At 50.9% G+C, this 23,871-nt stretch overlaps 1 protein-coding gene and 1 long non-coding RNA gene across 4 annotated transcripts in view, besides 1 other annotated feature; one reads left to right on the forward strand and one right to left on the reverse strand.

Moving 5' to 3' along the window:
* Positions 1-281: 281 nt before the first annotated feature.
* LOC124904894 (uncharacterized) lies at positions 282-2,239 on the forward strand. 2 transcript variants are annotated; one of them, XR_007067574.1, is made up of 2 exons: positions 282-365; positions 1,952-2,239. It is a non-coding gene; the product is annotated as an uncharacterized LOC124904894 (long non-coding RNA). The 2 variants fall into 2 exon arrangements; XR_007067573.1 differs by lacking the exon at positions 282-365 and adding an exon at positions 429-491.
* Positions 2,240-2,593: 354 nt separating this feature from the next.
* The window catches only part of MTCL2 (microtubule crosslinking factor 2), an 86,092-nt gene continuing 64,814 nt past the window's right edge, over positions 2,594-23,871 (reverse strand). The window contains exons 12-15 of one of the 2 annotated variants that reach the window (NM_080627.4): positions 22,649-22,720; positions 22,029-22,099; positions 18,396-19,746; positions 2,594-11,784 (exon numbers count right to left, since the gene is read on the reverse strand). In NM_080627.4, the coding sequence (NP_542194.2) occupies positions 11,632-11,784; positions 18,396-19,746; positions 22,029-22,099; positions 22,649-22,720 (1,647 nt within the window). In that variant the 3' untranslated portion in view covers positions 2,594-11,631. The remainder of the gene's footprint in view (positions 11,785-18,395; positions 19,747-22,028; positions 22,100-22,648; positions 22,721-23,871) is intronic. The other variant, NM_199181.3, reaches the window with a different exon arrangement.
* Positions 7,373-7,874: an enhancer, noted in NCBI's record as "H3K4me1 hESC enhancer chr20:35410629-35411130 (GRCh37/hg19 assembly coordinates)". NCBI's record gives its function as "activates a minimal SCP1, AML or CMV promoter by ChIP-STARR-seq in naive H9 embryonic stem cells {active_cell/tissue: H9 hESC(naive)}" and the evidence as "EXISTENCE:reporter gene assay evidence [ECO:0000049][PMID:30033119]".

The following is a 23,871-nucleotide window of genomic DNA, read 5'->3' on the forward strand; positions in this document are numbered from 1 at the left end:
GCGCCCGGCCACATCCTCGAATTTTAAGCCTCAGCTAAGGAATGATTGATTTCTCTCCAAGCATTCTCTCTGGCCTTAGGCTGAAAACCAACTGTCCTTTCTGTGCTCCCAGGAGCCCAATCTGTTCCTGCTCCACTATCCCATGCTGGTCTAGGAGGCTCCAGAGAGCGGGCTGCTTCCTCAGCACCCAGCACGACGCCACCAAAATGTCCCCTTGGATGTGCACAGTCCTTTCTTTCACAGAAAAACTTCCAAATATTGAATTATAAGCAGCCCACAGTCCAAAAGAGGGGTTGGAGAGAGGCAGCTGGAGCTGACCGTGGTCATCCTTCCATAGCAGTTGTGGTCCTTGGAAAAGTTTTCTGGTGGGAGACAAAAATCTGCCTTCCTGAAATTTCCACCCTGTGGTTCCAGCCTGCTGGCTGCAGCAGCCATTCTGAAAGCAGAGATTTGCCCTTGGCTCCCTGAATATCACTTTCTGGGGTTGAGAGGTACCCAGTTCCTTTTATGCTTGCCTGCCTCTTAAACTCCTCTCTGTCAACGTGCCAGGAAGAGAACTCAGTGTTCCTTCCCAGCTAGGGCTGGCCATCCTGGGGCACAATGAGAAAATGATTTCATGGAATACAGACCCAATACATCTTCTACATCGTTTCCCTGCTTTGAATTGTTGCATGGCTCCCTCCTGTCCACAGGAGGCACACATTTTTTTCCCCTATAAGGCACTGTGTCATTAGGCTGGGTGTGGTGGCTCACGCCTCTAATCCCAGCAGTTTGGGAGGCTGAGGCCTGCGGATCAGTTGAGGTCAGGAGTTTGAGACCAGCCTGGCCAACATAGCAAAACCCTGTCTCTACTAAAAATACAAAAATTAGCCAGGTGTGGTGGTATGCACCTATAATCCCTGTTACTTGAGAGGCTGAAGCAGGAGAATCACTTGAACCTGGGAGGCCAGGAGAATCACTTGAACCTGGGAGGCCAGGGCTGCGGTGAGCTAAGAACATGCCACTGTACTCCAGTCTGGGCAACAGAGCAAGATTTCATCTCAAAAAAAAAAAAAAAAAAGAAAAAAGAAAAGAAAAGGAAAAAGAAAAAAGGCACTGTGTGATCTGACCCAGCCTCTTCTTTCAGTTCCCCAGTTCTGCTCTGCTCTCTTTCTACGAGGCTTTCACACATGGTATTCCCTCTCCCTGGAACCACTTCCCCTCAGTCCCGTGCCTACAACACACCACCATGGCCTTCATCTGGTCAACATCTCAATCTTAGGTGTCATTCAGATGTCCTTTCCTCTGTGAAGCCTTTCTTGTTTCCTCTGGGCTGGCTGAGCACCCTGGGCTCCCCCTGCCATTAACATTTGATTTCATATCTTCCAGGCCCATCCATTGTATCCTCAATACCTAGCACATGCCTGGCTGTTATTAGCCCCTCATAGAAGAGATCTATGAAGTATCATGTAGCCAGCTTCTAAGATGGCCCCCAATGACCCCTGGTTCCTGGTGTTCATGCCCTCGTGTTGTCCCCTCCCATGCTGAAGAATGCTAGTCTATATAACCAATTAGATATTGCAGACATTATAGACATTATAGTCTGTGGCTTTTTTTTTTTTTTTTGAGACGGAGTTTTGCTCTTGTTGCCCAGGCTGGAGTGCAATGGCGCGATCTTGGTTCACAGCAACCTCTGCCTCCTGAGTTCAAGCGATTCTCCTGCCTCAGCCTCCCGAGTAGCTGGGATTACATGCATGCACCACCACACCCAGCTAACTGTGTATTTTTAGTAGAGATGGGGTTTCTCTATGTTGGTCAGGCTGATCTCCAACTCCCGACCTCAGGTGATCTGCCCGCCTCGGCCTCCCAAAGTGCTGGGATTACAGGCATGAGCCACCGCGCCTGGCCTAGTCTGTGAGTTTCAAGGCTTAGCTATAAAAGACATTGTGACTTCCTCCCTGCTCTCTCATAGATCACATGCTGTGGAGGAAGCCAGACGCCATGTTGTGAAGGCACGCAAACAGCCTACAGAGGTCCACATGGTGAGGAACTGAGGCCTCCTGCAAACAGCTAGCAATGACTTGCCAGGCATAAGTAGCTACTTTGCAAATGGGTCTTCCAGCTCATCAGGCATTCAAATGACTGTAGCCTGACTGACAACTGACTGCAACCTCCTGAGACCTTGAATCAGAACTGCCCAGCTCCCAAATTCCTGACCCATAGCATCTGTGGGGTATAATAAATGTTTCGGAATAATTAATTACGCTTCAATAGACAATTGACACACACCTAAAAGTGTCTTTTTTTTTTTCATAAAATTGTTAAAGTCTTTTGTAGAAAAGTTCAATTCTATTTTTCTTCTTTTTGAAGACTGCATTTGTTTCTCAGTGGTCATATCACACTGTGTGGGAGACGCTGAAGTATCAGCAGGCAGCAGCCAGAACACCTGGTGGCCCCTCCCAAGTGACTCCAAACCAGCCAGCTGGCTGTGGCCTCCCTGGGCTCCCCACTTCCCAGGCAGCTGGGAGTGGGGAAAAGTTAGGTTTCAGATCCGCTGGGGCCCCCACCCACCTCATTAGAAAAATCAGAGAGGAGGCCAAGTCCACAGCAGCTGTTCATATGACATACTTTATTTCCAATCTACAACCATTAAAAACGCTTTATAAGTTTACACTGTACAGTTATTCTCATGTCTGAAATAAGACACAGGGGCAGGGAGAGCTGGTGGATTGGACTGCAGTTGTCCTAGCACCCGATCCATCCTAGGAAGGAGCCTTTTGAAGACAGAAGTGGAAAGGAGAGAATAGTGGACAAGAGAGGTGGACAGTTGGCCCAAGGATGCCCTTGGTCCCTTCCCTCCCATGGGCCTTGCCCTGGGGGTCCCCCAGGGCCCATGACTGCAGGACCCTCACCAGGAAACCAGGCTGAGTGGGAAGGGGGTTCACAGTATTGGCGGGGGCTGGGGAGGGGCCAGGATGAGGAGGAAGGGCAGCTTCTGGCTCTCTTCCCAGCTGCTGGGGGTTGGAGCTGTTTTTTGGCACTGTCTACAAGGTATCCCTGGGGTTGGGAGGAGGAGGAACTGGGGATTTAGGATGCTTTCTTTGTGGAGTTAAGATTTCTTTCAGTTTGAAGAGGCGCTATCTGGCCTATGGTGAGGTTCCCAAGGGAGAAACAGTCAGGGTCTTCTGCCTCCTGCCTCCCCAGGACTCCCACCCCCTCCCTGGCTGGCACCATCCACACAGCCTTTTGTAAAACCAAGACAAGTGAGAGAGGTGAGCAGGAGCAGGGAAACAAACAATGTGTGCTTTCTCCAGGCCCTTCAACTTCTCTTCCTCTTCCAAGAGGAGCGACTATAGGGTTGGTTTTTGTTGGTGGTGGTTCCCAATCTCAGGAGTCCAGATAAGGCTGGTGTTTTCCACCTGTTCTTGGCCTAGCCAGTCCCAGTCCCTCCCCAGGCTCTACTAATGGCTAGCCCAGATCAGCAGTTGGCATATTCTTATGCGTCAGAATCATTTGGAGGGCTCCTTAAAACCCCAGCTTGTAGGGCCCCACTCCACAAGCTCTAATTCAGTGGGTCTTGGGTGGGGCTGCTAATCTGCACTTCTATCAAGTTCCCAGGTGATATTCCTGCTGCTGGAATGCAATACAAGAACCACTGGCTGAGAATGGTGCCCGCAGTCACCTCATTCTGAGCAGCCTGGTGTCTCCTGGGCAGCACTAAGGAGCTGGGCCACAGCTGGCAAAGCCCAGCCTTGGGGCACCACATCACCTGGGAAGCTGCTGGAAATGGTCTTGGGGTGAGTCCCCCGTGCAGAGAAGTAAACTAAGGCACAGAGATCAGTGGCAGAGCTGAGAGAGGAGCCAGGATACCAGGGCCCAGTAGAGAAAGGATGGGGCTGCAGGACCCTACAGCATGAGGGGTGCTCTAGGGACCACAGGGCCATCCTGGTGCTCATCACAGGATCACAAGACTGGGAAGGTAGGAGAAGTGAAGACATCTGCCCAGACCTGGGCCAGGTTTCCAGATTGCCAGCTGAGGTCCCTCTTCTTGGGAATGGTTTGAGTGGCTTCCAAATAAAGAGTGACAAGGCAGCCAGCCCTGACTGCCTCAGCCCTTCAAAGATGTTTAGAGAAAACCAAAGGTCCCTTCCTCAGGGCATGGTGTCCAGAAAGCTGGTGAAGGGCAGGAAGGGAGGGGAGCAGGGCCGTTGGGATAGACAAGCAGCAGAGGAGGCTCCAAGGAGGGTGAGGAAGGAGTGGCAGGGCTGGCATTGGAGAGAAGCCCTGAGCAGGAGACTTGGGCCCAGCATCATGTCCTCAGTCCCCTCAGGACTTGGGTCTGTATATTTTGCAAACTGCAAATGCTGTTGGGTTGGGAGGGGTAAGGCATAGAGTTGGGGTGAACTGTAGATTCTGCCAGGACAAGCAGCTCTGAGAGTGGTGAGGTCCAGAGGAGAATGGAGAGGATGGTTGGATACTGAATGGACAAAGAGATGGATCAATGACCAGAGACAGGGAGAGAAGAACCTGTCAGGCAGCACCTGCTTTACAGTCAAGGCCATCTGGGCCTGGGCAGGGCAGGGGAGGAAAAAGGAGGGATCCAAGCCCCCCCCACCCACCACCACACACACGCCCATTGCAAAGTGCTGGGGCTGCTGCTGGCAGGCTGCTTACAGAGAAGACAGTGTGGCTTAAGGGTGGCACCGGGGGGTTGCTGGGGCAGGGTGAGCCCAGTGAGAAGGGCTGGCAGGGCTGGTGCCTCCTGATGCATTGGAGGAAGAGGCTTTTTTTTGTGTGTGTGAGAAAACACAAAATAAATAAACACAGAACCAGGACACCACCACATTTGAGAGCAAATATCAGAGTTGGGAAACCACAGACGCGGACAGGAAGGCTTCCCTGGTAGGAAGCAGGGGGACAAGAAGCCAGTTACTGAGGTTACGGGAAAATCCGCACGAGGCAGCAGTGCTGGGAAGAACATCCTGGGAGGACTGAGGGCTGAATACTATAGTGAGCTCCGGACCCAGAAGAGGAAAACCTGGCATGGACCAGGGCCACTCCATTTGCTGGCAGGAACCAGCCAAGGAGAAGAGGAGGCAGGAGGACAAGAGGCTTTGGAGGGAGATGATAAAGAAAGAATGGGTGAGTGGTGGGAAGCAGACTGAGCCCAGAGAAAGGAAGGGGCTAAACCAAGATTACAGAAAGTCAAAGCAGTGTCTCATTCACTACTGGGGATGCAAGACCTGTTAGGAGTCAGGAAACCTGGGTTCTGGTCTTGGCTCTGCCTCTGGTTTGCGATGTGACCTTGGGTGAGCCACTGCCTTCTCTGGGCCTGATTCCTCATCTCAAAAAATGAGGGGGCTGGACACAAAAGGACAAATACTATATGATTCTACTTAAAAGAGATACCTAGAATAGGCCAATCCACAGAGAAAAAAAAAAAGTAGAATAGAGGTTACCAGGGACTGGGGACAGGGGGAGTGGGGAGTTACTGTTTAGTGGGTACAGAGTTTCAGTTTAGGATGATGAAAAAGTTCTGGAGGTGGCAGTTACACATTGCAAATGTACTTCGAGACACTTAGAAATCTTTAAAATGGTAAATTTAATGTTATGCACATTTTGCCATCATTCTTTTAAAAAGGAAGGGGTTTAGACCAAATTATGTTATGGCCTCCTTGCTATTCATGAAGACTAGTGAAGGGGGTGAGGAGAGTATTGTCCCCCACCCCAGGGCCAGGGCACTGAAAGGCTGGGCTGGGGACACTGAGTGTGATCAGATCACTTTCCATTTGTGTAGAACCTTACACTTTTCCAAGGAGACTCGCAGGCACAGTGTTGCAGTTGGTCCTCACCACAGTTACATGGGGTGGGACATTATCCTCACTTTACAGATGGGGAAACTGAGGTATAGACTAGAAACATGATCTCGCCAAGGTCAATCACGTTGGTGGATTATTTATTTTTTTAAATAGTCACCTGGAAAACATCCTTGCATCTTAGGTTCACCCGTTGACTCACCAACTGGCTCAGTGGCCCTTGATGAAAGGATACATGCTATAAATTAGTAGAAGAGTTCGTCTCCTGGGGCCAACATGCTTGCTTCCCATAATTGGATGATAAAAATTATAAATCCTGATGTGTTTCTCTTTTTACCAATGGCTGTCAGGAAACTCAAGAGTAAAACTTAATTGCATGATTATGGGAATTACACCAGTTAGATTTACAGAATAATTTCTCTTGCTTTTTTACTTCTTATTTTTATTTTACTGAACCCCTATGATTAAGATTGTAAATAGCCTCTGATGCTTTTTGAAAATCCTGAGTAATTAAATCAGTTTGGTTGAGGACTCGATCCCTTAAGTCCCTGCTCAGTGCTCTTTTTAAGATACAGCATCATGTTTATTGGTTAAAAGAAAGATGAGGCTGGATGCCGTGGCTCACGCCTATAATCCCAGTACTTTGGGAGGCCGAGGTGGGTGGATCACCTGAGGTCAGGAGTTCAAGACCAGCCTGGCCAACATGGTGAAACCCCGTCTCTACTAAAAATAAAAAAATTAGTCGGGTGTGGTGGCACACACCTGTAATCCCAGTTACTCGGGAGGTTGAGGCAGGAGAACTGCTTGAACCTGGGAGGTGGAGGCTGCGGTGAGCTGAAATGGCGCCACTGTACTCCAGCCTGAATGACAGAGCAAGACTCTGTCTCCAAAAAAAAAAGAAAAAGGAAGATGACCTGGCACGGTGGCTGATGCCTGCCTGTAACCCCAGCACTTTGGGAGGCTGAGGAGGGCAGATCACTTGAGCCCAGGAGTTTGAAACCAGCCTGGGCAACATAGGGAGACCCCCTGTCTCTAAAAATAATAATAATAAATAATAAATAAATAAATAAATAAAATAAAAAATAAATCTAAAAAAACTTAAAAAAAGAAAGATAGCCTAATAATCAGGGCCACGAACACCAATGGTGTGGCCAATAGTGCCTAAGATCCCCCGGGGAGGGCTGGTTTTATTTTTTATTTTTTTTGAGACAAGTCTCATTCCGTTGCCCAGGCTAGAGCGCAATGGCACAATCTCGGCTCACTGCAACCGCTGCTCCCCACCAGGTTCAAGTGATTCTCCTGCCTCAGCCTCCCAAGTAGCTGGGATTACAGGCATGTGCCACCACACCTGGCTAATTTTTGCATTTTTAGTAGAGACAGGGTTTCACCATATTGGCCAGGCTCGAACTCCTGAGCTCAAGTGATCCACCCGCCTCAGCCTCCCAAAGTGCTGGGATTACAGGTGTGACCACTGCACCCACCCCTCAACCCCAGGAGAGTTTGTTAAACATGCAAATTCAAGGTGGGGCCCAGGAATCTACATTCTGAACATGCCCTCAGAGAATTCTGCTGAATGGGGACCTCAGATCACCCTCTGGAATACACAAGGCTCAGTGATCTAGAATGGACTTGTTTTATGCCTGGGTTGGCCAGCAGCATATTCTGGGTATTCTGGACCCACCAAAAGCCCCCAGCAGGGCAGCGGATTTGCACAGCAAACAGGACAGAGTTGGACCCAAGTTCTCATCTAAACTCAGTGACTTCTCATGCTCTGGGATGAGACCTGTACCTCAGTTTCCTCACAGCAAAATGGGCGCACTAACCCATGTCCTGCCAAGGCTGCCTCCCAGAGTTGTCCCTGAGAGGTCTGAAGGAGATGTGGGGTGGGAAACGATTTCTTTTTTGAGATTGGGTCTCACTCTGTCATCCAGGCTGGAGTGCAGTGGCGCAATCTCTGCTCCTGCAACCTCCGCCTCCTGGGCTCAAGCGATTCTCCCACCTCAGCCTCCCGAGTAGCTGGGATTACAGGCACGCACCACCATGCTCAGCTAATTTTTTGTACTTTTAGTACAGACAGGGATTCACCACGTTGGCCAGGCTGGCGTTGAACTCCTGACCTCAACTGATCCGCTCGCCTCAGCCTCCCAAAGAGCTGGGATTTCAGGCGTGAGCCACCATGCCCGGCCAGGGGAAACGTTTTCTATATAGTAAAGTGCTTTAGGCGGGATGTGCAGGGGATGATGATAACCATTGTTATTACTATTATTATGGAAGAAGTAGTGGGAGCTTGGGGGGTCTGGTGAGGCTAGAAGCAGGGGACATTCTAGATAGGAGGGGAGAGGGAGAAAGAGCCTGGACGCTGGGTGGGCCAGAGGAGAAGAGGCTGGGTGATGAAACCATAAAAGTGCATGCGGGTGGACATGATGGAACCATGTCAGCAAGGGTGTAAGAGGGTCAAGTCTTTGGGCCCTTGGCCTTGTCACATCGGAAGCCAACCGGTAGAAGAGTGCACCTGGGGACACCTAGAGGTGGGACCCATCTTGAGTTCATAGAAAGCAAGACCTCTTAGAGGTCAGCCTTTGGTGGGAAATAAACTGGGGGAAAGGGCTGGCACAGGGTCAGAGGATTGGATTCTGATGTCTCGTGTGTGCAGGCCTAAGAGCCACTGATGCACCAAAATGACTTGATTTGCATTCCAATGAAGTCATCATTCCAAAAGGGGCTGATTTGGCTCTGGAAAGAGGTGAGACATAAGAAACATGAGGTTTCCCAGTTTAGGGCCATCATGCCAACTGGTCCCCCATTTCCGCCAACCAACTGATGCCAACCCCATGGACCCAAGCCAAGTGGTCTATGGGGGATTGAGCCCCGAGGGTTCCTTGGGACTTTGGTTGAAGAGAGAGTGGAGATGGGGAAAACAGAAAGAAGGATAAAGGAGGAGAAGAAGGGAATAGCAGTAAAAGGCAGAGAGGCAGGAGGAAGGGGGAGAACGGGTTCGAGAAGGGCAGCATTCCTTCTTGGGACCCCAATTCTCCAGGGAATCCCCACTGTGGGTCAGGCAGTTTTCTGCTTTGGGAATGTTACCAAGACTTAAAAGGCATTTGAAGAAACCAACAAACTTAGAAATCACATTCCAAAAGAGTAGAGAATTTTTACAAACCAATCCCCCCACCCCAAAAAAGAAAACAACCAGTTACCAAGTAAAATGCTAAAAACCGAACCAAACCAATATTTACATGTAACATTTTCAACCCCATCCAGCCCCACGTCCAGAGGCTTCTGCAGGAACAGTGATGAGTGGCCTTGCACAGTGGCATGCAGGAAGTAGAAACTGGGGCTTTACTGAAAACCAAGGTCTGGCTGAGACAACAAAGATGGCAAGGACAATCCTGGACGGTACGATGGTAAGGCTGAGTGGTCCGTAGGTCTTGGGGCTCAGGTCCCACGGGGATTTCTCCCCGAGGCTGAGTACGCAGCCTCCCTGGCTGTCGCTCTGGGAGGTGGCAGAAGGCCTCTGGTGGCTTGTGGCCTGATGTGAATCCCCTCACCTGGAGATAACCTTGGAGGGCCCCCCTGACCTCATGGGTGAGAGCAGCAGCATCCAAGAGCGGAACTGGCCCACAGCTCCACTGGCTGCCTGCTCTGCCCACACCAGTCACTGGGGCATGGAGGAGGCGGCTGGCGGGACTGGCATGACCCTGGTGTTCAGCCTGCAGGGAAGGGAGATGCAGGACTTGGGGTAACTGGTCCAGGTGATCCCGAATGGGTGGGTCTGGGAACTGGCAGGTGGGAGGTGGGAGTGCAGGGGCGCCTCCAGAGTCCTGGGGGCAGATCAGCAAAGCTACTGGCTTTTGGTCTTCCTGATGGGCAATTCTGCAGACAAGCTGATCCATCCTGGTGTTTCCACTCTGGGTCCCCAGTCAGTTACAGGAAGGCTGATGTCTATGTGTGTGTGGGGAGCATGTGTGCAACCAAAAGGGGTTCACCGGCACCAAGGCGAGGCCATGGGAGGCGCTGCCCCACATGCTGCAATGAGCCACATCGAAATCCAACCAATGGCTCAGGCAGCTCACAGGGGACGTGAGGAAGGGCGGGCAGCAGAGCTGGGGCAGGGAGAAGAGCCGTGAAAGGCCATAAGGCTAAGGAGAGAGGCTGGTGAAAAGGCTGGCAGGCTGGTGAGAACCGAGGCAGGCTGGGAGACACTCAGGTTTATGTGCAAAGCTGCGATAAACAACATTCTCAAAGTTCAGTCCTGTTTTCCTGTGAGTTCTCATTTGGGAAACTTGGAGGGATCTCCACACTCTTAATAGAGCTTTAGTAATCCACGTTCGACTCATGAAGAAAGGTGTCAGAGGGAGGGAGGGAAATGAGACAGGCAATGGAGAACGTCTGGGGAGTGGTGATGGCCGTCCAGCCCTCCACCTTGTCAGTGAGTATTTATAGACTGACCGCTGGGGCTGGCCAAGTACCAGGCATTGAGTAATAAGTAGTGTTCTGAGGCCACATGGCCAGCCGTGTTGGGGTGCAGGGCTCCAGCTCTGTTGAGGGGCCCTCCAAAGCTGACCAGGAGGCCAGGTCTCCAAACCTGGCTGCCAAGCGGCCTCGTCCACCCAGGGGACCCCATGCCTGCCCGTGCTGTTAGAGGCCTCATGTTGTCCCAGTGGCAAGAATGCATGTTTCAACCTCCAATAAATTACCTTAGGGACTTTGGGGTAAATTAAATTATTAAAATAAAGTAAACCACCTTAAATATTTATAGTAGGAAAAATTCAAATAAACAATCTAGGCAAGATACGTGTTTCCAGGCCCCAGTCTACTGCTGTGTCCTGGGCTCTGGCCTCTTGGTGTTCTCCTGGGCCTGACCTGGCCAACCAAGAATCTCTTACTGGGAATATCTTTGCCCCCCGACCAGCTGCAGGATGTAAACACAGTGGAGATGTAGTGCCTGCTGCCTCTCAGGGTGCCAGGGAAAGAGGCCTCTGAGATCACTTGAGATCAAGGCAGTGTATTTAGGCATTTATCTATGCACCAGGTCTTGAGACTGACTCTACCTATTTCTGTCCTCAAGGGGTCTGCTGGGAACGTTGGGGCCCCAAGTCACTTTGGCAAGGAAGGCAATTGCAATCACTCCCCAACCCTGAGCCCTGCATGTTTCCACTTCGCCTCCCAGCTCTTGCTGCATCCAGGCTATGGGCAGGGAGATCCAGGGCTCCAGGACACTAAGCAATGGCCCTGGCTACTGCCCTATCATACTCCCTAGTGTCCCAGCAATCTAGAGCAGTGGGGCTGGGAGGAGGAGGTGGTGGAGAGAAGGAGGTGATGGTGATGATGCCCAACAGGGCTCCACCAGGAACCAAACATGGAGCCCTAGAGCAAAGCCTGTTCTTCTCAGCAGTGTCTCCTCCCAAATGAAGGGGTGGATGGTCAGCAGGAAACATCTCTCCGACTCCTTTTCCCCAAAGGCATGGCCAGACATGTATCCTTCTTGGGCTCTTCCAAGAGGGTGGCATGGGCAGAACCAGGCAAGGCTCTCTCTTAGGACCCAGGGATCGGCTCTTGACAGATCTCTCAGTGGATGCTTGGGAAGCCCAGGTTTGGTCTCTCTCCCACTCACTGCCTTCCCCTGGGAAGTCGAAGCTCACCACCCAGGGGCCAGCAGGAGACCCGGCTTTACCTTGATGTGAAAGCTGCATTCTGGCAGTGGCATCACTGCTGTCCCTCCAGGGCCAGGCAATGCTGAGGACACAGCCCCTCGCCTCACCTCGTCTCGTCTCTGCTGGTTCCCTTCTGCTATCCAGGGGCTGGGCTGGTTGAGGCGGGGAGCTTGGCTGCTCTGTCACTCGCTGGGGGGGAGTGCCCTCTCCTCCCCACCCCAGCTGGACTCTGAAGGGTGCAGCCTGCACTTGGAAGGAGAGTGGCGGATGGCAGAGCGGGACGATCGGGCGAAGCAGGAGGTGAGAGACTGGGTACTACAGTCACAAACAGCGTCCTAGGAAGAGGGAGGCAGGGAGGCAGGAAGTCAAGAGGAGCCAGGAGACATGGACCACCATGAGCTGTGTGGTATGCCAGGCAAGGAACTGAGACTCGGCCATAAACCAGTTCCCAGGGGCTGAAGCTCCTCACTGGACCAATTTTTTCTTTCTGTTGTTCTTCTCCCATTAGAGCGGTAATGGAAGTTCATTGTAATATATTCTAGGCTATACAGAGAGGACAGTGGACACTGTCCATGGTCCTGCACGCCAAAGAGATTCTTAACATACATTTACCAAAATGACAGCTTATTTTGCAACTGTAAAACACGAACACTTTTCTGTCACTAGGTATGTCTAGATCTCCTTCCTTTTTATCCTTTTTTTTCGTTTGAGACAGGGTCTCACTATGTTGCTCAGGCTGGTCTTGAACTCCTGGGCTCAAGCGATCCTCCTGCCTCAGCCTCCCAAACTGCTGGAATTAGCACCTTTGGGTGCTCATGCCTCCCAAAGGCATGAGCCACCATGCCTGGCTGATCGCCTTCTTTTTTAGTGTCTCTGTACCATTTCACTAGATAGAAATAACTGATTTATATACCCAATTCGCTTTTTTTATTTTTTTATTTTTTAGACAGAATCTTGCTCTGTTCCCCAGGCTGGAGTGCAGTGGTACGATCTTGACTCACTACAACCTCCACCTCACGGATTCAAGTGATTCTTGTGCCTCAGCCTCCCAAGTAGCTAAGATTACAAGCGTGTGCCACCATGCCTAGCTAATTTTTGTATTTTTAGTAGAGAGGGGATTTTAGCATGTTGGTCAGGCTCAAACTCCTGACCTCTAGTGATCTGCCCGCCTCGGCCTTCCAAAGTGGTGGGATTGCAGGTGTGAGCCACTGTGCCTGGCCCCAATTCACTTTTTATGTACATCTGGGTAGTTTCTAATTTTTTACTATTACCAATAAACAGAAATAATGATCAAAAGTGCTGCTGCCAGGCACGGTGGCTCATGCCTGTAATCCTAGCACTTTGGGAGGCTGAGGCAGGTGGATCACGAGGTCAGGAGATCGAGACCATCCTGGCCAACATGGTGAAACCCCATCTCTACTAAAAATACAAAAATTAGCTGGGCATGGTGGCATGCGCCTGTAGTCCCAGCTACTCGGGAGGCTAGGGCAGGAGAATCGCTTAAACCCAGGGTGCGGAGGTTGCAGTGAGCTGAGATTGTGCCACTGCACTCCAGCCTGGGTGAAAGAGCAAGACTCCATCTGAAAAAAAAAAAAAAAAAAAAAGTGCTGCTGGACAGCTGGCCATGGTGGCTCACACCTGTAATGCCAGCACTTTGGGAGGCTATGGCAGGTGGATCACCTGAGGTCAGGAGTTCAAGACCAGGCTGGCCAACATGGTGAAACCCCATCTCTACTCAAAATACAAAAATTACCCGGGCATGGTGGCACATTCCTGCAGTCCCAGCTACTTGGGAGACCGAAGCAGCAGAACGGCTTGAACTCAGGAGGCGGAGGTTGCAGTGAGCCGAGATCACATCACTGCACTCCAGCCTGGGGGACAGAGTGAGACTCCATCTCAAAAAAAAAAAAAAAAAAAAGTGCTGCTGGGCTGGGCCATGTGGGAGGCTGAGACAGGAGGATCCTTTGAGCCCAGGAGGTCAAGGCAGCAGTGAGCTATGATTGTGTCACTGGGCTCTGGCTTGAGCAATAGAGCAAGACCCCATCTCTTTAAAAAATAAATAAAATGGCCCGGGCGCGGTGGCTCATGCCTGTAATCCCAGCACTTTGGGAGGCCAAGGCGGGTGGATCACGAGGTCAGGAGATCGAGACCATCTGAAACCCCGTCTCTACTAAAAATACAAAAAATTAGCCGGGCGCGGTGGCAGGTGCCTGTAGTCCCAGCTACTTAGGAGGCTGAGGCAGGAGAATGGCGTGAACCTGGGAGGCGGAGCTTGCAGTGAGCCAAGATCGTGCCACTGCACTCCAGCCTAGGCAACAGAGCGAGACTCCGTCTCAAAAATAAATAAATAAATAAATAAAATAAAAGTGCTGTGATAGAGCCAAACTGCTTGGTTAAATCCCAGCTTTGCCAATTACTAGCTGTGTGACCTTGGGAGATTTACTTAACCTCTCTTGAGCTTTGATTTCCTCCCCTCTCTCTTTTTTTCTTTTTCTTTTCTTTTCTTTTTTTTTTTTTTTTTGAGACAGAGTTTAGCTCTTGTTGCCCAGGCTGGAGTGCAATGATGCGATCTCAGCTCACAGCAACCTCTGCCTCCCGGGTTCGAGCGATTCTCCTGCCTCAGCCTCCCGAGTAGCTGGGATTACAGGCATGTGCCACCACGCCCGGCTAATTGTGTATTTTTAGTAGAGATGGGGTTTCTCGGCATTGGTCAGGCTGGTCTCAAACTCCCGACCTCAGGTGATTGGGTGAGCCACTGCGCCCAGCCTCTTTTTATTTTTCTTTATCCATCTCTGTGAATATTTCCATAGGCTACCTTCGTAAAAGAAGAACTACTGGGTCAATGGGTAGCACGCACATTTTACATACTGAACAATATTTGGATCAACTTTAAAATCAACATTCAAAATCCAGCCAGCTTTGTGCTGTTGTTTCTTGATGTGGTGCTGGTTATATGGAAGTGATGGTTAATTTTATATTCAATATGACTGGGCCACAGGTGCCGAGATATTACGTAAAACATTGTTCTGGGTGTTTCTGTCAGAGTGCTTTGAGATGAGATTAACATGTAAATTCTCAGCCAGGCGCAGTGGCTCACGTCTGTTATCCCACCACTTTGGGAGACTGAGGCAGGCGGATCACTTGAGATTAGCAGTTCGAGACCAGCCTGGCCAACATGGTGAAACCCTATTTCTACTAAAAATAAAAAAGTAGCCGGGCGTGGTGGCATGTGCCTGTAATCCCAGCTACTTGGTTGGGAAGCTGAGGTACAAGAATCGCTTGAGCCTGGGAGGCAGAGGTTGCAGTGAGCCGAGATCACACCACTGCATTCCAACCTGGGTGACAGAGTGAGGCTCCGTCTCAAAAAAAAAAAAAAGCGAATTCTCCCTAACATGGACCCCATCCAGTCAGTTAAAGGCTTGAACAGAACAAGAGGGCTTACTCTCCCTCAAGTAAGAGAATTCTTCCTGCCTGACAGCCTTCAGACTGAGACACTTGCTTTTTTCCTGCCTTGAGACTTTATTATTTATTTATTTTTGAGACAGAGTCTCACTCTGTTGCTCAGGCTGGAGTGCAGTGGTGCGATATTGGCTCACTGCCTCCTGGGTTCCAGCAATTCTCATGCCTCAATCACCCAAGTGGCTGGAACTGTAAGCATGTGCCACCATGCCCAGCTAATTTTTGTATTTTTTTTTTTTTTTTTTTTTGAGATGGAGTCTCGCTCTGTCACCCAGGCTGGAGTGCAGTGGCGCGATCTCGGCTCACTGCAAGCTCCGCCTCCCGGGTTCATGCCATTCTCCTGCCTCAGCTTCCCGAGTAGCTGGGACTACAGGCGCCTGCCACCACGCCTGGCTAACTTTTTGTATTTTTAGTAGAGACGGGGTTTCACTGTGTTAGCCAGGATGGTCTCGATCTCCTGACCTCATGATCCACCCACCTCAGCCTCCCAAAGTGCTGGGATTACAGGCGTGAGCCACTGCGCCCGGCCAATTTTTGTATTTTTTAAGTAGAGACAGGGTTTTGCTACGTTGGCCAGGCTGGTCTCAAACTCCTGGCTTCAAGCAATCCACCTCTCTCGGCCTCCCAAAGTGCTGGGATTACAGGTGTGAGCCACCACGCCTGGCCCTTTTTTTTTTTTTTTTTTTTTTAAAAGATGGAGTCTTGCTCTGTTGCCCAGGCTAGAGTGCAGTGGCGTGGTCTCAGCTTGTTGCAACCTCCACCTCCCGGCTTCAAGCAATTCTCCTGCCTCAGCCTCCCGAGTAGCTGGGACTATAGGCGCATGCTGCCACGCCTGGCTAATTTTTTGTATTTTTTAGTAGAGATGGGGTTTCACTGTGTTGCCCAGGCTGGTCTTAAATTCCTGAGCTCAGGCAATCCACCTGCCTCGGCCTCCCAAAGTGCTAGGATTACAGGCGTAAGCCACCATGCCTGGCCTCTTTTTTTTTTTTTTTAATGTAGAGATGAGCTCTCACCATGTTGCTCAGACTGGTCTTGAACTCCTAGCTCAAGTGATCTGCCCACCTCAGTCTCCCAAAGTGCTGGGATTAGAGACATGAGCCATTGCACCTGGCCAAAAAAGGAATAAATATTTAAAAGATGTTTTTAAATGTCAGCCAGCTGAGTGAGAGTATAGAAAAGTAACGCACTCGCCACACACTGCTGGAAGCTGTAGATATGGCACACTTTTGAAAAACAATTTGGCAGTATTTATCAAATAACTTTAAAACATTTATATTTTTTTTTTTGTGTGGAGATGGAGTCTCACTCTGTCACCCAGGCTGGAGTGCAGTGGTACCATCTCAGCTCACTGCAGCCTCCGCCTCCTGGGTTCACGCGATTCTCCTGCCTCAGCCTCCTGAGTAGCTAGGACTACAGGTGACCACCACTATGCCCGGCTAATTTTTGTATTTTTAGTACAGACAGGGTTTCACCATATTGGCCAGGCTGATCTCAAACTCCTGACCTTGTGATCCACCCGCCTCGGCCTCCCAAAGTGCTGGGATTACAGGCATGAGCCACCGCGCCCGGCCACATTTATATTCTATTATCCTTTAATCTCATTTCTGCAACTTATACCTAAGGAAATAGTCTGAAATGTAAAAAAATGATTTTGCACCAAGATGTTCACCACAGCATTATTTGCAGTAGGGACAAACTAGAAACCACCTAAACGTACAATAATAGAAAAGTAGAATGTTTGAGTCTATCACAGCCCATTCCACACACAGCCCTTCTCATGTCTCTGTGCCCCACAGCAGACCACATGGTACCACTCCCAGCCATAGACTGGACCAAGGGGTACACTCGCCTCTAGCTGCACCAATCAGAGTTTCCTTCTTTCAGAAATGTGGAATTGGGAGACAGGGATTTGTGTCAGTCTCTCCTAGGGGCTTGAACTGGAAGATGTTGTAAAGTCAGAGCTGGGACAGCCCACCCAGTCCTTGTGCAAATGCAACAGAGAGAGAAACAGAGAAAAAGGAGGAATATGATATCAGAGAGGGTGAAGCTTAAAGAGAGGAGAGGAAGACAGGGAGAAGCTGCTGAGGTTGTCAGGTTCCTACTCTTGGGTTTTATAAAACATGCCATCCTTCAAATACATTTCCTTCCCTTTCTGCAAAGTTAACTTATGCACATTCTAACACATTCAAATAATGCTCACTAACATTCAAATAAGGTTTACTAATTAACTTATAAGAAACTGATAGCAGGAGTGGGGTGTGAAAGATTCTCAGAGGAAATGTGAGCACTTAGGTGTGAAGTCTTGATGGGGTGGAGAAGTGGTATGCCCGCTAATGTTTAACAATTAGTTTTCCAGGAGTGATAGGAGGAGCCCCGATTTGTAGTGTTTACCAATTTTTATGCTGTAAATCCTCCCACTGTGGCCAATCTCAAGGTACCAAGGTGATGTTAAACACAGAGATGTGGCCAGGCGCGGTGGCTCACGCCTGTAATCCTAACACTTTGGGAGGCCAAGGTGGGCGGATCACTTGAGGTCGGGAGTTCGAGACCAGCCTGGCCAACATGGTGAAACCCCGTCTCTACTAAAAAATACAAAAATTAGCCGGGCATGGTGGCAGGTGCCTTAATCCCAGCTACTTGGGAGGCAGAGACAGAATTGTTTGAACCCAGGAGGCGGAGGTTACAGTGAGCCGAGATTGAGTCATTGCACTCAAGCCTGGGGGACAAGAACGAGACTTCTCTCAAAACAAAAACAAAAACAATAAAAAAAAAAAAACCCACAGAGATGCTGACAATTGGCTCCTGCAAGCCAAACAAGCTGGCTCTAGCACACCACTGGGTGGCAGGAGAGCAGTAAGGCCCCTTCCCTGGAGGGGATGCTGGCAGTCTCTGGTGGGTGGAGCAAAAGCTGCTAGTTAAGCCATGCTCACTAGTCTCTTGGAATTCAGACCATGTGACCATCAGGTCTGTGTTGTTCCAGGTCTGGGACCTTCCAACTCTATCCTAGACCAGCATAAGAACTTCCTGGAACACATGGCCATATCCCTGAATTTTTATTTTATATATATAGATATATAGATAGATAGATAGATAGATAGACAGACAGACAGACAGACAGACAGACAGACAGACAGACAGATAGATAATTTTTTTTTTTTGGTGAGACGGAGTCTTAGTCTGTCACCCAGGCTGGAGTGCAATAGCACAATTTCAGCTCACTGCAACTTCCGCCTACTGGGTTCAAGTGATTCTCCTACCTCAGCCTCCAGAGCAGCTGGGACAACAGGTGCATGCCACCACGCCTGGCCAATTTTTGTATTTTTAGTAGAGATGGGGTTTCACCATGTTGGCCAGACTGGTCTTGAACTCCTGATCTCAGGCGATCCACCCACCTCGGCCCATATCTCTGAACTTAAAAACCAAAAGAGCTTGGACCTTATATACTAACTCCACCTACTAAGAGAAAGGACAGATCCCACCCACCTACCTCATTGGGAAGGACCACGGCTCCATCTCCGTCCCGGAGGACACCATCCTTCCCCACCTGGGGGAGCATGGTGAGTCTGACCTCCTCACTGCTGCCCAACTTGGCTGCCTTCTTGTTCAGGATCCTGGCCACACCCTCTGGCTGATGGTAGCTGGCTGGGGAGAGGGGCTCTGGCTTCTTGGTGCCCTCCTCTCCTGCTGATGAGGTGGGGCTCGGTGCCCGGCCACACACATTACGGAAGAATTCCTGCACAATGCCGTACTTGGGAGGCTCGGGCTTGGCCCGCGTCTCAGACATGCCTAGTTTCCAGACAGACTCCGTGCTCCCTGAGTGCTCCACCACACTGAAGAGGCTGGAGAGTCCATCGTTGATGTTTCTCAATACAGGGCTGTCCCGCGTGGTGGTGGAGCGGGCCCAGGCCGAGCCGTTCTGCTTGCCCTGGTGCAGGTTCCACAGGCTGCGGTCCTTGCTGCTGTCCAGCTTGGACACAGACCGCCTCTGGAGCTTTGGTGAGCCATACTTGGGGGAGCAGCAGGGCCGCTCGATGCGCGAATGGACCTTGTCCAGGGAGGAGGAGATCTGCTTGCTGCGCACAGACACGAGCGAAGAGCTGCGGGGTGACCAGGCCTTGCCATGGAGGCTGCTGCGGGGTGGGTCGGTCTGCAGGCCCACGCTGACCGTGCGGATGGTCTGTGTGCCCACACTGGCCAGGCCCACCGTCTGGCTGGATGTGCTCTTCACTTTCCTCTCCAGTGAGCCGGAGCGCATGGCCTGGCGCACACAGTTGGTGATCTCCTTCATGTCATCACTCATGTTGCCTGACATCTCAAAGTCATGCAGGGCCGCTGGGAAGCCAGGCCCGGCCGCCGAGGGGCTGCCCGCTGAGCCTCCGTCCAGGCGCTGCCGTGAGAAGTTGCAGAGCCACCGACCATAGGAGCTCTCAGCCAGCCCATCAGCCTCGGCCGACTCTTTGGGCTTGGCTGTGGTGAAGAGGAAGCCGGGCTCGATAATGATCTTGCCCTCTTTGTCATGAACCACAGGGACTCCGAGGCGCCGGGCCACCGGGGGACTATAGTAGACTCGGATGCCCGTCTTGTCAGGAGCCGTGTAGCTGCGCTGCATCTGCCTCCCTGGGGGGTCCTGGCAGGCCAGGGCACCCAGGTGGTTGCAGTCCCTCGACGAGAGCCCAGGCTTCTCCTTGGTGTCTTTCTCTGGATCCCCTGGCTCGGAGCTCACAAAGCCAAAGGCAGGGTTGTTAGGCAGCTTCTTGCCCCGGGCATCTCCGCCAGCAAGGTAAGGGGAACAGTCGAGCAAACTTTCAAACTCAGACATGGAAGAAACAGATTTGGTTCTGCGAAGGACAGAGGAGGAAACGTCGTTATTAGTGGAAATAACACTGAGGGCACACTCTGGTCTACCACCCTGGTCCGTGTGCTGCGTGAGGGCAAAGACCAGGACCGTCTTGTTCACCTCTTGTAGAGATGTTGTTGGTGCCCAGTCCCACATTCTGTCTGCATTTTCTTTTTTTTTTTTTTCTCCCAAACAGGTCTTGATATGTCACCCAGGCTGGAATGCAGTAGTGCAATAATAGCTCACTGCAGCCTCAAACTCCTGGGCTCAAGTGATCCTCCCATTTCAGCCTCCAGAGTAGCTGGGACTACAGGTGTGCACCACCAAACCTGGCTTTTTTTTTTCTTTTTTTTTTCTTGAGACAGAGTCTTGTTCTGTCACCCAGGCTGGAGTGCAGTGGCATGATCTCGGCTCACTACAACTTCCACCCTCCAGGTTCAAGAGATTCTCCTGTCTCAGCATCCGGAGCAGATGAAATTACAGGCGTGCGCCACCACGCCCAGCTAATTTTTGTATTTTTAGTAGAGACGGGGTTTCACCATGTTGGCCAGGCTGGTCTGGAACTCCTGACCTCAGGTGATCCACCCGCCTCAGCCTCCCAAAGTGCTGGGATTACAGATGTGAGCCACTGTGCCCAGCCTAACACCTGGCTAATTTTTAAAAAATTTTTTGTAGAGATGGGGATCTCCCTATGTTGCCCAGGCTGGTCTCAAACTTCTGGCCTCAAGAGATCTTCCTGCCTCTGCCTCTCAAAATGCTGGGATTAGAGGCATGAGCCACTGCACCTGGCCTCTCTTTGCACTTTCACCTATACACCTAAAACTGCATACTCTGAACTGCATACTCCACCATTCTCTATCTGATGGTTTTTTTTTCTGCCTGTGGGATCATACTTGGCTGTCCTACACATAGAAGAAGCTAGACCCAGCACTTTGGGATGCTGAGGCAGGCAGATCACCTGAGGTCAGGAGTTTGAGACTAGCCTGACCAAGATGGTAAAACCCTATCTCTTAGTAAAAATACAAAAATTAGCCAAGCGTGGTGGCGTTAGCCTGTAACCCCAGCTACTCAGGAGGCTGAGGCAGGAGAATTGCTTGAACCTGGGAGGTGGAGGTTGCAGTAAACTAAGATTGTGCCATTGCACTCCACCCTGGGAGACAGAGCAAAACTCTGCCTCAAAAAAAAAACAAAAACAAAAAAAACAAAACACACGCCCAAACCGAAGCTAGAGATAGCACAGAGTTAATGAGTTCACACCCCTAAACACAGCCCTCAACAAACAATAGGTGGGATATGGTGAACAAGTGCCCCAGCCTCCTTGTGGTGGGATGACTCTAAGCTGCATGTTCTCCTCTGGCTCCCTGAGTTCCTCCGACAGCCTGAACTCCAGTTGCCCGTGGAATAACCTGGTTGAAGCTCCTTTTATCGGCTGCTTTCCCTTCCCTGTCTCACTTCCAAGTGTTTCCTGAAATTCTGTCCCAAATAAACCATTTGCACTTAAATCTTTGTCTCAGGGTTTGCTTATGGGGGAACCCAAACTAAGACGCCATGAAGCTCCTGGCACACCTATTGCCTGAATCACTGAACACACCAGGCATATGGAAATGCACGTGTCAGACCACTCTGATTAACTTCAAGAGGCAGCTCCTATCATCCCCACTAGACAGAGATGGGAAGTACTGCTCAAGGTCAAGGTCATAGAGCTAGAACTGGCAGGGCTGGCATTCAAACCTGGCCCTCTGGCTCCACAGCCTGTCCCGCCTGCCTTGCTTCTGGGCTGGTCTGATAGCGGCTGGGGGTTCTGTTTCCCTGACTCCTTTCATGGGTTTCCTAACAGTGGAGACGTGGTCCTTATGGTCTTGGGGTGGGGGTCTCCTTGGCCATAGCACAGGGCTGGGCCCAAAGGATGCTGCTCAATAATCCCAGGAATAGAGGTCAATCTTGACTCTCCTAACTCCAGAGGCAGGAGAAAAGAATCCCAAGAGGAGCAAAATGTTTTGTTTCCACCTGTGTTCCATTCCCGGACTCAAACAACATGCAGCAGCCTGGAATTCCCACTGCCCCAAGCCTTCCAGCTCCTGAGTGGCTCGGGTTCCAGAGAAACCATATCCCGATGCTCTCCCAACTTGGATGCGGTGGGGTGGCGGCAGGAAGAGGGCAAAGGGGCGGGGCAGGGCTGCGGTGAAAGCAGGTAGAGTGGGTGCAGGGCGCAGCAGGAGGTGGAGAGGGGCGAGGCTGTGGGGCCGGTCAGAGAGGCAGAGCAGGGGACCAGCATGCAAGCACCTCTTTAAACCATTTCCTCCAAGCTCAACTTCGGAAACAGCCTCCTTGTCGTGGATCTTCTCACTGCGTGTCTGTCAAGGAAGAGAGACAGGAAGGGTCAGTTCTGGCCACCAGAGCACTAAGGGCATGGAACAAGAGACCAGCCCCGACCTCAGTGCTTGAATCTCCTCATCCGGAGAGCAGGAATGATGTCATCAATGATCTAGCATGGTCAGTTTCTGGCTGCCCTGCATCCAACTCCCCCACCATATGTGATCCAGGCTGGGCCAATCAGAGCTCCAAGAGTGACCCACCCAAGGAAAGGGACCACTTAAAATTTAATCCAAATGTGGTGACTGCAACAAAGCATCCAGTGGTCCACTGCTCAGCTGGTGGTGGGCTTGTCTTCTTCCTCCTCAACCCTACCCCCTCACTTAGCCCAGTCCCTGGGTGGTTGGGTTTTTTTTTTATTTTTTTGAGGCAGGAACCATGAGATACAGACTCCAGGGCTGAGGAGCCCAAGGTGCAAGGGTGTGACCTATGAGACAGGGTTAGCAACTTCCTCTCATGTCCCCCACAAGCAGGGACCTTTATGGTGCAGCCAGGAGCCAAGATAGCATGGCAGCAGCCGCCCCACTCACCTCCTTCCAGCTGTTGTCCTGCTTCTCCAGCTCCGAGTGCTTCAGGACCCAGGGGTCGGCAGCCTTCTGCAGCTGGGCAAGGGCAGAGAGGGTGGGTCGGTAATGGGCAAAGCTGGTATGCAGGACCCTGCTCTAAGCAAGGCCATTCCCCAGACTCCACTCTGCAGCCCACAGAACCTACATCATGGACAAGGGGCCACCTTCTCAGTGGGTAGCAGCTCAGAGCGCCCCACTCTGCCTGGTGGATTTGGAAAATGATAATAAAAGGAACTACTTGCAGGCATCCTTCTAGATGTCATTATACCTAATATAGTAACAGCCATGACTATGTGAATTCATGTTACAATTCACAGAACAGCTAGACTAGCTAAGCAGCAGCTACATCCCATCAGAGTGGCAAATGTAAGATCCAGGCACCCCCACTGCTCCATCCACAGTGGCCGTCATTTATGGATCTCGGCACTTTTTCCTGCTGGGCCTTGAGGGGCCTCTGCTTCTCTCCCCTCTTTGGAGCTCCATCACTTCCAGGTGGCTTGTGATGGAACCTATCTCCTATGCACACATTAGTTAATTTTTTTTTTTTTTTGAGACAGGGTCTTACTCTGTTGTCCAGACTGGAGTGCTGTGGTACGATCGCAGCTCACTGCAAACTCTGCCTCCCAGGTTCAAGCAATTCTCCTGCCTCAGCCTCCCGAGTGGCTGGCATTTACAGGGATGAGCCACCTCGCCTGGCTAATTTTTGTGTTTTTAGTAGAGACGGGTTTCACATGTTGGCCAGCCTGGTCTTGAACTCCTGACTCAGGTGATCCGCCTGCCTCGACTTCCTAAAATGCTGGGATTACAGGTGTGAGGCACCGCGTCTGGCCGCATTAGTTGATTTAATCCTCACAGAAACAGTGTATGATAGGTGTTCTTGTGGTTATTTCCATTTGGCAGATGAGAGGATCAAGACTGAGAGAAGAGGTTGGGCAGCTGACTGAGTGAATGATCGTGTAGCACTTCCCATTGTTGGTGGCTCCATCTGTACCATCTGACACTACAGCCTTCTCTGGAGGATTGCCTTGGGCAATTAGAACCGAATCACTGCCAATGACAGACAAAGACAGGGGTCCAAAAGACCGGCCCAAAAGGCAGACCCCTTGCCTTAAGGTGGACCAAACTGTGGGGTGATTTACTGTTTACACTCCTGGGCATGTCATGGGGTCAGGCCGAGGGCAGACTTC

This window comes from Homo sapiens, chromosome 20 (genome assembly GCF_000001405.40).
Source record: "Homo sapiens chromosome 20, GRCh38.p14 Primary Assembly".
NCBI lineage: Eukaryota > Metazoa > Chordata > Mammalia > Primates > Hominidae > Homo > Homo sapiens.